Raw genomic sequence first — 16,614 nt, forward strand, 5'->3', positions numbered from 1 at the left:
TGAGCCATCGCACCCAGCCAGAAACTCACATTTTAATTTATTGTCTGGTGCATGTAATCACATTTAGAAAAACATTACCCTGTCCTACATCATATCAATGTAGGATTTCCTTCTGGAGAAAATGTTTGTCTCATATTCATTATTCTGAACACTAGTAAGGGAGATCGGTAAAAATGAAAAGTAAAGTTTTGAATGTTCAAATAGTTTCTCAACAGAGGTGAAAAATAAATTTTACTATCATCTATTTTCATTTCACAGAAAAAATGTAGTACCAAACTGAAAGATTTAGGGTCTGGAAACTACAGAACTCATTTTCCATCAAGAATTTTTGTGATCAGACCCCCACTGTCATTGTTGAAAGGCTGGAGTAGTCCAGCACATGGGAGGAGCATGGGCATTGGGATGGGACAAACCTGAGACTCCAGTTGCAGCAGCATTACCTACTGTCATGACACTGAGGCCCATTTTCCTGCTTTGTAAGAATGAAGATAATACCTTTCACTTCACAGAGTTATACAGGATCAACAAAGGAGGCCATGTACATAAGGTACCCAGCACAGTTCATTATATATTATGAACACTCAATCAATGCTCATTCATATCCTCTGTCTTCTTTCTCTTAGAACTGTGTGCATGCTAAATCATATCTGCTACTGCTCTGGGGCAATAGTACAGACCCCAGGACCATTTTGTGTGTCAATACAAATAATGAGCAGGAAATGCAGGTTCTATGCCATATAAGCTACTAGTGACAACCACAGAAAATTTCTAAGTTGTCCATAGCACTGGCAACCCATCCAAATTTCCTTTATGGACCCTGGCTTCCCATGCACACACAGTATCCATTCCTTAAAAGTGTGTATTCCTCAAGTTCCTGTGCTTTGTTTGCTTTTCTTCTTGCTCTTATCTTGTCACTGATTTTTTCCACTCATAGACTTCTGTCATGACCTTGTGTTTATGATCTGAAGTCCATATGTTTGTCCCGGTTTTCCTGCTAAGTTCCAGACTCATATATCCAACGAATACCTGATATCTTCACCTGAGTGACCTCAAACTCAACATGACCAAAGCATCTGTGCTACCTCATTCTACTCAATCCCCTCCCCTACCTCCCTAAAAACATGTTCCTTATATTTTGTATACTTTATTCAATGGGTTTCTACCCAGTCATTCTCTGTATTTTGGTTTTTGTTTTTTTTTTTTTTTTTTGAGACGAAGTCTTGCTCTTGTCCCCCAGGCTGGAGTGCAATGACGTGATCTTGGCTCACTGCAACCTCCGCCTGCCAGGTTCAAGTGATTCTCCTGCCTCAGCCTCCTAAGTAGCTGGGATTACAGGTGCCCGCCACCAGGGCCGGCTAATTTTTGTATTTTTAGTAGACACGGGGTTTCACCATGTTGGCTAGGCTGGTCTCAAACTCCTGACCTCGTGATCCGCCCACCTCAGCCTCCCAAAGTGCTGAGATTACAGGTGTGAGCCACCGTGACCGGCCTCTATCCAGTCATTCTCTAAACTTGAAATCTTTCACCTACCCTTTCTTTCTTTCTTTCTTACTTTCTTTCTTTTTTTTTTTTTTTTTTTTGAGATGGAGTCTCACTCTGTCACTCAGGCTGGAGTACAGCAGTGGGATCTCAGCTCACTGAAACTTCCACCTCCTGGGTTCAAGCAATCCTCCTGACTCAGTCGTTTGAGTAGCTGGGATTACAGGTGCCTGCCACCATGCCCGGCTAATATTTTTTGTATTTTTAGTAGATGGGGTTTCACCATGTTGGTCTGGCTGTTCTCAAACTCCTGACTTCAAGTGATCTGCCCATCTCGGCCTCCTAAAGTGCTGGGATTGCAAGCGTGAGCCACCTTGCCCAGCCTCACCTGCCCATTCAAATTGGTGAAATACACTTTGCCCTTTGTCCAACATTTGTATATTTACTACTTTATTCAGGTTTGGATTTTCCTTCCCTCCTGTCTTCTTCCCAGCTCACACATGCTCCCTACTTCTTATCTGCTTCTGTATTAAATGTAAATCTTATCTGTCATCTTGGATTTCCTTAGCTAGCCTGCTTCATGGACTTAATGACACCACCAGAGGACAGTAAGTCACTTGCCCTGAAAGTGCCAGGCCAGGCGCATGCCCTGAGTTTCCAGCTCCTTCCACAGTTTCTGAACTTGAGGGAATCACTGCACTGGAGGGCGTGGAATTAGCATCCAAGCCAGCCTCCAAAGGACTTGGATGACTCAAGCTGGAAGTGTGGGAGAGTTGGCTTTCCATGTGGCCAATTTTGCCCCAAAGAAAATCATAAGGGCTGAGATAAGCCTGAACAAAAGAATGCCCCTGATTCCTCCCTCCTATGGGCTGCTTTGAAGCAACTGTCCTTGACATGGAGAGTCCATAAGTGTCCCACATACTGAGTGACAACCTTGCTGGGTCACCTTCTGTGTCATCTTGCAGCTCATCATGAAGCTGTAGCCAGCACAGTCATGGGTCACTTTTTATTGCTTTGCGTCTTTCTTTGAACCCCCTATGTTTTTTCCTCACTTTTGCTGCCCTGGGTTTGCACCTTGCAAAGGAAGTGTCAGCATTTTAATCTTTGCCTCAAGCTCTCTTTTCTAGGAAGCCCAGGACTAAGAACAATTCTAAAAAGGATTGAATGCAACGTTAAATAAAATCCTCTTTACAATAACATAAAATCCTTGGCTCATTTACCTTTTTCTTTTTCAAGTATGAAGGGAAAATAAAAAATAAATAGTTATTAGTTTAAAAGCTTGTCAGAAGAATGTATATTCTGTTGATTTGGGGTGGAGAGTTCTGTAGATGTCTATTAGGTCTGCTTGGTGCAGAGCTGAGTTCAATTCCTGGATATCCTTGTTAACTTTCTGTCTCGTTGATCTGTCTAATGTTGACAGTGGGGTGTTAAAGTCTCCCATTATTATTGTGTGGGAGTCTAAGTCTCTTTGTAAGTCTCCAAGCACTTGTTTTATGAATCTGGGTGCTCCTGTACTGGGTGCATATATATTTAGGATAGTTAGCTCTTCTTGTTGAATTGCTCCCTTTACCATTATGTAATGGCCTTGTTTGTCTCTTTTGATCTTTGTTTGTTTAAAGACTGTTTTATCAGAGACTAGGATTGCAACCCGTGCTGTTTTATGTTTTCCATTTGCTTGGTAGATCTTCCTCCATCCCTTTATTTTGAGCCTATGTGTGTCTCTGCACGTGAGATGGGTTTCCTGAATACAGCACACTGATGGGTCTTGACTCTTTATCCAATTTGCCAGTCTGTGTCTTTTAATTGGAGCATTTAGCCCATTTACATTTAAGGTTAATATTGTTATGTGTGAGTTTGATCCTGTCATTATGATGTTAGACGGTTATTTTGCTCTTTAGTTGATGCAGTTTCTTCCCAGCATTGATGGTCTTTACATTTTGGCATGTTTTTGCAGTGGCTGGTACCAGTTGTTCCTTTCCATGTTTAGTGTTTCCTTCAGGAGCTCTTTTAGGGCAGGCCTGGTGGTGACAAAATCTCTCAGCATTTGCTTGTCTGTAAAGTATTTTATTTCTCCTTCACTTATGAAGCTTAGTTTGGCTGGATATGAAATTCTGGGTTGAAAATTCTTTTCTTTAAGAATGTTGAATATTGGCCCCCACTCTCTTCTGGCTTGTAGAGTTTCTGCTGAGAGATCCACTGTTAGTCTGATGGGCTTCCCTTTGTGAGTAACCCGACCTTTCTCTCTGGCTGCCCTTAAGATTTTTTACCTCATTTCAACTTTGGTGAATCTGACAATTATGTGTCTTGGAGTTGCTCTTCTCGAGAAGTATCTTTGTGGCATTCTCCGTATTTCCTGAATTTGAATGTTGGCCTGACTTGCTATGTTAGGGAAGTTCTCCTGGATGATATCCTGCAGAGTGTTTTCCAACTTGGTTCCATTCTCCCCGTCACTGTCAAGTACACCAATCAGACATAGATTTGGTCTTTTCACATAATCCCATATTTCCTGGAGGCTTTCTTTGTTTCTTTTTACTCTTTTTTTCTCTAAACTTCTCTTCTCGCTTCATTTCATTCATTTGATCTTCAATCACTGATACCCTTTCTTCCAGTTGATCGAATCGGATACTGAAACTTGTGCATTCATCAAGTAGTTCTCGTGCCATGGTTTTCAGCTCCATCAGGTCATTTAAGGACTTCTCTACACTGATTATTCTAGTTAGCTATTCGTCTAATCTTTTTTCAATGTTTTTAGAAAGCAATGGCAACAAAAGCTAAAATTGACAAATGGGATCTAATTAAACTAAAGAGCTTCTGCACAGCAAAAGAAACTACCATCAGAGTGAACAGGCAACCTACAAAATGGGAGAAAATTTTTGCAATCTACTCATCTGAAAAAGGGCTAATATCCAGAATCTACAATGAACTCAAACAAATTTACAAGAAAAAAGCAAACAACCCCATCAAAAAGTGGGCAAAGGATATGAACAGACACTTTCCAAAAGAAGACATTTATGCAGTCAACAGACGCATGAAAAAATGCTCATCATCACTGGCCATCAGAGAAATGCAAATCAAAACCACAATGAGATACCATCTCACACCAGTTAGAATGGCGATCATTAAAAAGTCAGGAAACAACAGTGCTGGAGAGGATGTGGAGAAATAGGAACACTTTTACACTGTTGGTGGGACTGTAAACTAGTTCAACCATTGTGGAAGAGAGTGTGGTGATTCCTCAAGGATCTAGAACTAGAAATACCATTTGACCCAGCCATCCCATTACTGGGTATATACGCAAAGGATTATAAATCATGCTGCTATAAAGATACATGCACATGTATGTTTATTGTGGCACTATTTACAATAGCAAAGAATTGGAACCAACCCAAATGCCCATCAATGATAGACTGGATTAAGAAAATGTGGCACATATACACCATGGAATACTATGCAGCCATAAAAAAGGATGAGTTCATGTCCTTTGGAGGGACATGGATGAAGCTGGAAATCATCATTCTGAGCAAACTATCACAAGGACAGAAAACCAAACACTGCATGTTCTCACTCATATGTGGGAATTGAACAATGAGAACACTTGGACACAGGAAGGGGAACATCACACACCGGGGCCTGCCGTGGGTTGGGGGGAGGGAGGAGGGATAGCATTAGGAGATATACCTAATGCTAAATGACGAGTTAATGGGTGCAGCACACCAACATGGCACATGTACACATATGTAACAAGCCTGCATGTTGTGCACATGTACCCTAGAAATTAAAGTATAAAAAAAAAAAAAAAAGCTTGTTAGAGCAGAACTACAGTAATTTTACAAAACTTGGTTTTAGGTTTTCTAATAGCCAGAGTGAAGAAGGACACATAATCATTCTCACTCATGAAGAAATAATTGGAAGTAAATTTATCAAGAAAAAATATCTCAGCTATGACTAGACCCTGAGCTTTGAGAAGAATTTATCATGATGTCACAATGTGATATCGTGACATGGTGTGATGATGATCTTTACACAAGGGTCTTAAAGTAAAGTAAAGGATCATATTCTTTATATTATATATTGTTAACAAAAAGTGTAAAAATACAGAGTACTTCCCATGTAGCTTTTTCTTGCACTAGAATTTAGGGAAAGGCAAAAGCAAGATGTTGGAACGTTGGTTGCAACTTTGATGTACACAAGAAGTTTCTTAAAAATACACATTTCGGGGTCCCTCCAGACCTACCAATCAGTGCCCCAAGGCTAGGGCCTATGCAGGTATATTTTAGACAAGAAGAACCTAATGCACACCAAAGTTTGAACACTAGCAATTTCCAACAGTTTCACCTAAACGTAATACAGAAAGTTGTTGCAATTTTAGTAGCAGAGGCAGCTTCTAAGAGAGCATTCTAAACATCATCTTGGAATGCTGAAACGCTATGCAAGCAGACACAATCGTTTGGGTTTCAGGAAGCATAAAATATATATAAAGCTAAAATGAAATAGAAAATTATGGATCAGTTGAATATTCTTTGAGCAAATATCTGTAAATGCCCTCTTTGGTTACAATGCCCTAGTTAAATAAACAGCATAGAGCATGAAATGCAGGCTGCTTAAAAGTTGAAGCAGGGTCCCTGCATCAAAGCTTACAATAAAATCCAGAAGAAGAACCACATAACAAAAGATGATAGCATTTTACGAAGGGCAAGATGATGTACAATAAACTGTGCCCACAGAAACAAACGGTTTACTGAATATGCTCTCTGCTGAGGCAGCCCAAGATACATGCAATGTTTTGCTTTTTCAAAATGAAAAATTTCCTCCCACAGATAGTTTTGTTACAGACAATTGGTGTGAGATTGGAAATAAAATAAATAAGGCACACAGCACAGATCGGACCACTGGAATATTCTCTCAAATTCTACCACACTCTCTACCTTTAGAAGGTGTGATGGAAACTAGCTGGATGTATGAGTTGGACTCATCATTGCTTTCTGTACATTAATCTCTAGGCACCAGATTTCCACCACTGGTGTGCATGTTTTAACAAGGTAACCAACCCTAGGAAGAGCACCATCTTAATATGACTTTTCAGACTCAATATTTAGAGGAACTTTAAAATATCAGTCCACTTATAACAACGAGAAAACAAATTCTTTGTCCTGGCATGACCAGGACAAAACAACACGAGGCAGCCTGTTCTTCTGTAATGGGGTGTCCCAGAGGACCCACTGGTATTTATCTTCCACATCCCTGCTCTACAGAACTAAATGCTCACAAACAATTCTGTCAGAGGGGCTGGGGAAACAGTGAGTATTAATAATACTCCTTGACACCAGATATATTTCATGGTTTCTAACTGATGCTGCAGATTTAAAAAATACAACGGTGGTTTCAATATCTTTTAAGAGGACGCAGTTTGTATTGACAGAAAATCAGGTAGTATTTAGTACAAGGTTTTTAATCATCTTTTGATACCTTTAAATCCAAGCTACCAATTCATTTGTTTAATGTAAAAATTGAAACTATGTAGTCATTTTTATACAGTATACTACAGTTTTTCTACCACTAGAAAAAAAAAAAAAAGAAATGACTGGTTTCCCAGGTCAGATCCATACAGAAGATGGAAAGTGGGAGCAGAGCAAGGGTCTGGCTCCCTCACGACAGCACTGCAGGCACCTGAAAAGCACAGTTTCCTGCCCAACCCTCTCCTTGCTCCTGTTCAAATGGCATCTTGGTTTGGGTTTCCCCAGAAGCGATGGATTCAAGGAATCGAGTGCAAAAACTTTCTTCTAGAAGCAATTCCAGGAAACACTAATGGGGAGTGGGGAAATTAGACAGGTAAGTTTAAGTGTCTAGTGAAGGGTTTGCAGTCCATGAATAAAGCTGAATCATACTGGGAACTCTGGGAGCGAGTGTAAAGGAGTTAATGTTTTGGAGTAGTCCCACCTGAGAGGTGAGGGAGTGGGTCAGTAACCAATTCCTGACGCATCATTGGTGATTGGTTGCTAGGAGAAGGGGCAGGACTATTAATTCCCTGATGCTTTCAGCTGGCCACAGGGACATCAAAGTGGGCTCTAGTGACCAGAGAAAGCCCTCAGACAAAGAAACGTTGGTGGCCACAATGCTGAATTGAGTCCACGTGCACTAAAGGATTGTGGGTAGAAAATATGGGTGGAGCTCCAACAGGATCAGCCTCTTTTATGCCCATTCCAACTCTCTGCAGTCTGTCCAGCTCAGAAAGATGACTTGGAGATTTTTTTTTCATGTTTAAAAAATAATAATAAAGGCACAGATTCTTTGGATCTCTATACATGAGTAGGGCACACTTGGTGCCTTCATCAGATATGCTGTGCTGGGGTGGGATTCACACTGGAATCAGAGATTGTCTTTAAGGCGGACACTAATGGGGAAACCGTTGAGTCCGGATGGGAAATGCAGGAAAGGGCTCTGCACTGCACTGTTGGCAAGCAGGCAGAGAGCAGCGGCAGAACCTGATTCTCTGACACAGAACAGGGAGACAGGACAGGCATGCAGGGGCAAGGTCCAAGTAGGCAGGCACTGGAGAGCACCAGAGAGGGCAGCAGCATTTAGGGAAGAGCTCATGCCAGCCAGCAATTGTATTTCATCATTTCTTAGCATCAGCTATGCACCATGACATTTAAATCAGAGGCTCTGAAGGTGATTCAGGCTTTTCGACAATCCCCTGAGTAAGGAAGTGTGACCTGGGAAGAGAGTGTGAAGGGACCCGTGCAGACCAGGCCCACCATAAAGAGCCAAAATGCATGCCCTTTAACTGTGGGTCAATAATGTCTTTTTCAGACTTAAAGCACAACCCATTATCAGTGGCCCAAGACACTTCAATTTAGTTTCTTTGAGTGAATCACTTATAACAAGGAAAATGCACAGTAGAAACATTCAGCTCCATAAATGCAAGGATCTCAGCCAAATAAAATCTTAGCATTTGCAGAGTGCTTGACATGAAAAATAAATCTAGATTTTTCTCACTAGCCGTGTAGGGTTCTCAGAGATCCTGAAATAGGAGAGTATCTCAGCTTACTTAGGAATGCAGCAGGTTATTGCTATAGGGTATGCGTACTGACCACCTTGTAAGAATTTTACCTCTGCCACTGTGGATCCTGAAGAATCACAACAGAGGCTAACTATAATGTGAGAAATAAAAGTATGGGCATTTAGAACAACAGAGAGTTGATGCTGGAGCAAAGGTTGATGTGGGAAATGTCAGAAGACGCTTTCTTCCATCCTTCCCCAAAGCGCGGCAGGGCTAGTGACCTCAGGCCACAGGATAAGGACACAGTGAGATCATTTTTCCCCAGAGCTAGTGATCTGTTAACCTGATTAATATTACTTTTATTCCTCTGTAAAAGAACATTTTTGTAGCTGAGGATCATTCCTGAGGAATCCCATTTAATAGCAAACCAAATATTTTGTTCAAAGGGAAGAGAGACCATTGTCAGATTTTGAGATGCTCTCGATGTAAAAATTCGTCATATGTTATTATGACAGAAATTATCCAATTAACAATTCCTCACTCCCATCACTTGTTTTACAAATGTTATTATTAAGCTCTTGATCAGGTCATTTGGTTTCCTATTGCTGCTACTTGAGAAATTCCATAACAAATGGCCCTGGTAGGTTGTAATTCTGCAGTTACAGTGCTTAACACAACCTCTCTGAGAACTGGCTCAAAAATGTTGATGAAGATCTGTTTATATTTTAGTGGCATTCTCAGGCAAGCCTTGTTGTGGCTCAAGCTCCTTTCAAGTCTGTGCTTTACATTTATTTTTCAGCAGAAGCATTTGATTATATATCCCCTACTGCTTATTCATTTCCAATGCATCTTAGGAAACTAGTAAAGTCTTGATGGACTTATTTATATTCTAATATTAGCAACATTTCTGTTCCACAAAATTGAGGCTTGAGTTGCTTTATTAGAGAAGTGGCATCCACTATTTCTGGTCTCTGCCCTTCTAGCCTAACAAGAGTGAGTACCATGAAGAACATGGGCTCAGTGGAGGCAGAACACTGTAGTTAAAATCTCAGCCCTACCAGCGAGGGAGTGGATCATCTCGGGAAAGTTACTTAGTGCCAGACACAGTGCTGATGCAAGTGAAACAGGCCAGCACACAACAGGGCCACCTGTCCAGGAAAACTCACCAGGTGGGCAGATGGGAAGATGTTGAAATACTTAGGTGAGACCAGAACTTAGACCACTGAGGGATGACTACAGATGCAAGAGTCTGAAGACAATCCCCAACTAGTACTCAAATCTGGAGGAAATGACTGAGAGTAGGATACAGTTCCATCAGCTGGTGCTAATGAGCCCAAAATGATCATGTCTGAGCAGCTGATAATTTGCAAAGATCCAGGGGTTCTGAAATTGGAACAGATAATAAGGGCAGGGCAAAGCTGAGAGATGGTAGAAATGTGGGAGCAGGCAAGGCTGGGAATTTCAAGCGCAAGGTTAGAGTTGAAGGAACAAGTAACAATACTGACATGATTTGATATCATTAAGCTAACGGCACTGACTCCTGAGACCCTGCCTTGGGCATGCTTAGTATCACAATTTTTGGCTTTGAAGGTCGCTGGGAAATGGAGTGGGGAATCAGGAAAATATTGCACATTTCCTCTTTGGATTTTTCTCTTTGTGAAATGAATGACTTGGACCAGATCTGTGAGAGCCACTCAGGGTCTAAGATTTAATATTCTAGTGGTTCTTTGATACCATCTATGAATTGTTCAAGGCAAGTTAAATCACATTTAGAAAAAGCTTACCCACCTATGGTTTTCCTATTTCAGTTGTGGCAGAACTAACAGCAGTTATGGGGTGATGGAATTTATTAAAAAGGCACTATCAATATTGAGTCTTTCACTTAGTTTTAGTAAAAATAGGCATTCCATTTCAATTCACTATAAGAACATTTATTATATGCTTAATAGTAATAGTCAATTCCAAGTATTTTACATGTTTACATCACACATTCCCAATACATGAAAGCACAACGGAAAGTACAAGGGTATTTTTAATTGAAAAATGACCTGGTAATTCTTTTCACTAACCAATTACTATGGCTTATGTTTCATATGTTTAAATTATAAGATAAACAAAATAGCTTATTCCAGATATTTGGGGTTTATACTTTACTTGTATCTGCCCAAAGAGAACAGTAGAGAGCTTGAATATGTGTGGGTGGCTTGTGACTTAATGATACAGGAAAAGACCCTTGCCCCAAATGCCTGCCTTCTCCAACACTTAAGGGGAGGCCCCTCTGAGGCCAGGGTTTTGTATTTCCAAGAACCTGGCATAACACAGAGTTACGGAGAAAAAAGAACACTGGCAGAATTAGCTCTGCCCTAAACCATGTTACCAACTGGGTGAAGTTGCACAAATCTCTTCCCTTTTCTGGGTTTTATGTTTCATTTGCTAAAGAGGGGATTATCTTTGTTTGTTTGCACTGCTATCAAGGAATACCTGAGGCTAGGTAGTTTATAAAGAAAAGAGGTTTATTTGGCTCATCATTCTGCAGGCTGTGCAAGAACCATGGCATCAGCATCTGCTCCTGGTGAGGCCTCAGGAAGCTTCCACTCATGGCGGAAGAGGAAGGGGAGCTGGTGTGTCACATGGTGACAGCAAGATGCCAGGCTCTTTTTAAGAATCAATTCTCACTGGAACTAACAAGAGCAAGACCTTACTCATTACCATGAAGAGAGTACATGTCATTCATGAGGGATCCACCCCCATGACCCAAACACCTCCCACCAGGTCCAACCTCCAACACTGGGGATCAAATTTCAACATGAGATTTGGAGGGACAAATATCCAAAGTATATCAGGAATTTAAGGCCAACTCAAGTGTTGTGAGTCCAAAAGGTTAGATAGTAGTTACACTTCATTTGGCAAAGCTTTATCACCTCTTTCCTCCATGTCAGAGTCTGTATTAAGTACTGGGGACACCAAGACAAGAAAAAGTATTCAAGACATTAAGAAGGCTTCTGTCTTATTGGAGGAATAATAAGGACAGTGCAAAGCACTGAGCAAAATGAAGATGGAAAAATGGCAGCGTGGATGCTAAGAGGGCAGAGGGAAAGTCACTAGATGTAACAGAAGAAGCCCAGCTAGAGAATAACATGGTCATCCGAGTTCCTGGCTTCATGGCAGGCACTAGGATGATGTGGTGTAGAATATGGCACAGAATGCAGATTCTGGAGCCTACTCTAGGCAAACACTGTAAGCATTCTCCTTTGATTCTGGAAAACAAGAATAATATTTTCCTTGCAGGGTAAGTGTGAAGATTGAAAAGAGAGAATGCATGAGAAAATACTAGCAAATGCCCAGCAGAACTATGGTAGCTATATTCAGTTTTACTGATATCCAAGTTACTCACAAGAGAAGCCAAGAAGTGAGAAGACACATTTTGCAATTTCACCTTAGTTGGGCCTGCTTAGCCTTGCTGGAAGAAGTGGTGATCTCTAGCCTGTGAACCTCCAAGTCTGTCTTGCCTATGACTATCAGAAATGACCATGTGTACAAGAAACTGAATCAAACGTTCCAGCAACAACCAGAGGGTGAGAGTTCTCTTGGTTGTTGGAAATCTGTCACACAGGGCATGAGAGACAAAGTTATCCTAGAAACCACAGGGCCCCTGAAAGGCTACATAAGCCTAAGATGAAATAAAGGATCCCTTCCTTCTCCACAGAAATAGCAGAGTGTCCATCAGCCCCATTTAAGCCAATACAGTGCTGAATTGCCTTATTCTAGCAGAAGACACTTTCTGTGACTAGTGGCCCTTTGTCCCTGGATCCTACAGGCATTTGAAGCTTATGAGAAACATCAATTTTCTTGGCTTGCTTCACTGGTCTATACCTGTGGAGGAGTGCCTGGGCCTACTAATTCCAGGTCATACTGTTTTTCTTGCCTGTGCTTCTAGTATTCTGCAATTTCCTCTGCTGGTGAATTGCAAGGGTATGTGTATGTGTCTGCTATGGACTGGATTATGTGCCCCCAAAATTCATATGTTGAAGCCCTAAACCCCAATGCTAATGCAACTATATTTGGAGATAGTCTTTAGGAGGTAATTAAGGTCAAGTGAGATCGCAAGGGTAGAGCTTCAATCGGATAGAAATGGTGGCCCTATAAGATGACAAAAAGAGATTTCTCTCTCACTCTCTCTGCACACACACTGAGGAAAGATCATGTGAGGGTCAGCGAGAGGGCAGTGGTCTGCAACTAGGATGAGAACTCTCACCAGAACCAGACCCTGATGGCATGCTGATCTTTGGAATTCCAGCCTCCAGGACCGTCAGAAAATAAAGATCAGTTGTTTAAGCTACTCAGTCTATGTATTTTGCTACAGCAGCCCAAACTAAGATAATGTCCACCTTCCTTTCCAAATTATTAGCTCCTTAAGGATGGAAACAATAATTTGTTTGCCTTGTTGCTCCAGCCTATAGTGTCTGACACATCTTTAATCTTTAAGAAATATTTGTTAAATAAAGGAATATTTTGTTGGATGCTTAGTCATGACTATATTTCAAAGTGTTTCTAAATTCTTCCCAGATCTCAGTACATATCCTCTTCCTGCCTAGGACTAAAGGATTCCCTCTTAACTGGAAAACTTCAATATTCTACACAGTTGCTGAAGAGGTAAAGCAAAAAGAGCTGGTCAAGCCTAGTTTTCAGTCAGTCAGTCAACAAATACGTACTCTGCACTTCCCACAGCCAGGCACTGATCCAGCCACTGAGAATGCTGCCTTAAAGACAATGGACAGAGTTCATGCCCCAAGGAGCTTAGCATGTGATGGGTGGTGCCAGACATAAAACATGTCAAAATACTGGATAATTTCAAATAATGCTAAGGACTATGAAGAAGTGGAATTAAGGTGATGTGGTAAAAGGAGGGGGCAGTGCTCCTTATCCAGAGTGTTGAGAAGGCTCTCTGAAAAAGCGACATTTGAGTTGCAACCTGAACAATGAGCGGGTGGTAGCCATATGAAGGCCCGGGGAAGAAAATGCCAAGCACTGAGACTAACAAATCCCAAGGCTCTGAAAGAGAACAGCTTGATGCATCCAGAGGACAGCAAGAAAATCAGCAGCTGGAACTTAAAAAATGAGAGGAAGAACGGAGGGAAGGCAGTGAGGGACAGGGAGGCAGGAAGGAGCTAGATAGTGTGAGTCTTACACACCCTAAGAACCGGTTCCAATTCTATTCCAGTTATAATGGGAAGCCACTGGAGATATTTGAGTAGAGGCATGTGATCATCTAATTTATGCTTTAGAAATATGACTCTGTCAGGCAGGAGAGGAAGAATATTTAGGAGGCTGTGGCCACAGTCAGGGAGAAGGTTGAAGGGGCTTAGGGTGGTTGCGATAGAAGTGGTGAAAAATGGCCAAATTGTGGGTCTATTTGGGAGCAGAGAATACTGGGTTTATAGACTAAACGTGACATTAGAGGGAAAGAAAGGAACTGATCATCACTTACACAGCTTTGGGCAAAAGTAATTGTGCGGATGTGGTACCATTTACAGCAACAAGGTGGGAGGCAGGGCTGGGAGAGATGGGGAGGAGATCACTGACTCTGAGAAAGTTAAGGCTGAGATATTTAGTAGACACCAGGCACAGATGTAGAGCAAGGAGGTGGGTACCTCAGTCAAGCATTTAAGGGAGAGGTTGGAGCCAGGTGAGTAAATTTGTTAGTCATCTGCATAAAGACCAGACTGGGGGGCTGGGCGCGGTGGAATCATGCCTGTAATCCCAGCACTTTGGGAGGCCAAGGCAGGTGGATCACCTGAGGTCGGGAGTTTGAGATCAGCCTGGCCAACATGGAGAAACCCATCTCTACTAAAAATACAAAATCAGCCTGGTGTGGTGGCACATGCTTGTAATCCCAGCTACTCGGGAGGCTGAGGCAGGAGAATCGTTTGAACCCGGGAGGTGGAGGTTGCAGTGAGCTGAGATTGCGCCATTGCACTCCAGCCTGGGCAACAAGAGCAAAACTCTGCCTCAGAAAAAAAAAAAAAAAAAAGACTGGATTGGAAGTCTTGGGGGGTAAATAAGAGCATGAGGGAGATGTATACAAAGAAAAGAGCAGATGACTAAGGAGAAATCCCTGAGGCACTTCCTTCCCTGGAATCAAGTACGAAAGAGGAGCTGCCAAGGTGCCCCGGAAGTGCAGCTAGTGAGGAGAAAACCAGCTAAGTGTGGCATCTCAGAAACCAATAGGAAATAAGAGTGTTTCTAGCTTAGTAAGATGAGGGTTCTGACAACATAGGAATTCATGGTTCCACTCTCTAGAAACAGCAGCACTAGAAGAGACTTTAGACCTCATGCTTAAAGGAAGAAACCAATAAAGGAAAAATTCCTGAACATATAAAACTCTTCTGTGTTAGGGCCCAGGGCAGACTCTAGGCTGCTAACTGCCAGCCCCAGATTCTGGACCTGTCTCACCTGCCTCCATGCCATGGTCAGCAAACACGCACGATGTCTGGGGACTTAGCAATGTTGGTTAGTTAGGAATCTTTTTGTGATATCCCCCTGTAGCCATAACATTGAGAAACAGACTAGATCTTTATCCTGCTGGTGTGAAGTCAGGCCTCTGTGACCAAATAAAAATGTCCATGGATCTTTAGAGAAGGCAAAGCAACACTGGGATTGCTAATGTGAGATGTTGGATGGACAGGCACCAGTTATGATGGAGCTGGGGAGGGGGGCTGGAGGTGGCCATTGACAGCTGCACACAGAGAAGCTACAGTTTACTGAGTTTGGAGTTTGGGTAAAAGAAGGAGAGAATGGGAAGCTATGGGATTATACATTTGATGAACTAAATATCCAAACCCAAATTTAGGACATATGACTCTAAAGCTTCTCCTAATAACCCTGCTCTGAATGATCCACGCCCTTTATGGGTCTCCCTGATAATTCTGTTTGTAAAATTGCATGGCCATCATCTACCTTTGCTCATTCCCTCCCTGAACTGTGCCTGGCCTAGCAGATACTCAGCAAATGATTATTGAACCAATCAATATTCAGTCAACTAGTAGGTTGGGATATTTGAAGTCAGTTTGTCCTTGAAAATCTGAGATTTGTATTCAGGCTAAGAATGTTGCTGTGGAATGTTCTATTAGAGAGGCTGAGATTTTCAAGGGCACTAAGCACACTAAGAATGTATCATCACATTATATAACTGGAACATTTTAGAACCAAATATATCTGTAGCGTAGCCAGGCATGAGAATCTAATGCTTAAGCAAAAGATAAGTACACACACACAAACAGACACATACACACAAACACACACATACACACAAACGTGTATATACATATATGTGTTCATGTGCATATATATAAATATACACACACAGAGAAAATATTTACTGTTTTACTGTCTTTGTGGATGAAGAAAATATATGTATTCCTAAAATATTCAATAACATTTATTAACAATATCATAATTCAACCTATGATTTGAATTATAATTTTTCTACCATTTAAAATTTTTCAACCATGTATAAGCAGGGAATACAATTAAAACATCTTATGCCTGTGAGATTTAAATACTTTCTAGATGGTTTTTCATATTTGAGTTATTTCAGCTTGCTTATTCAGATTTTAAATCCATTGAGAGAAGTATCTTTTTTTCTTACATAGCAATGAACATTCCCTATGTTCAACAAATAGGTATATTAATAAGGCTTTCCAACTGATATAGCCCTATTTCTTAGAGAATCCTTTGAGGGGATGGGGCGGGAGGGAAAGATAAGTCCATAGCTGTGAAGGCAGGAGCCTGAGGGATTTAAGGCTTGAAGATCATGATTTTGTCTCTGTAGTGAGAGGGGAGGCCACCTGCTGCAAGGGAATGTGGTGGAGTTAGAAAGAGACTTCAAACAAGCTTTGAAATGTCTGCTCACAGAGAAGAGGAAAAAAGTGTTCTGTAGGGACACACAGAAGAGCTAGAGTCTAATTTAAGAGTTAAGGGAGGATTTTGTTAACTTATCAAGATTTTCTCCATTGGAGTCTCAACATCTCGATCATAGCATGCCTCACAGTTAAAGTCTGCCTGAGAGGGTATAAACTCAAGAGGGCTGGAGACCCAAGGGTACAAAGAAGAGATTTATTGAAGATAGAGAGACA

General features: G+C 41.5%; 1 protein-coding gene across 2 annotated transcripts in view; it reads right to left on the reverse strand.

The window, feature by feature from the left end:
- ZMAT4 (zinc finger matrin-type 4) overlaps positions 1–16,614 on the reverse strand; it is a 367,237-nt gene that overhangs the window by 81,031 nt on the left and 269,592 nt on the right. The gene's annotated exons all lie outside the window — the stretch shown is intronic.

This window comes from Homo sapiens, chromosome 8 (genome assembly GCF_000001405.40).
Source record: "Homo sapiens chromosome 8, GRCh38.p14 Primary Assembly".
Classification (NCBI taxonomy): Eukaryota; Metazoa; Chordata; class Mammalia; order Primates; family Hominidae; genus Homo; species Homo sapiens.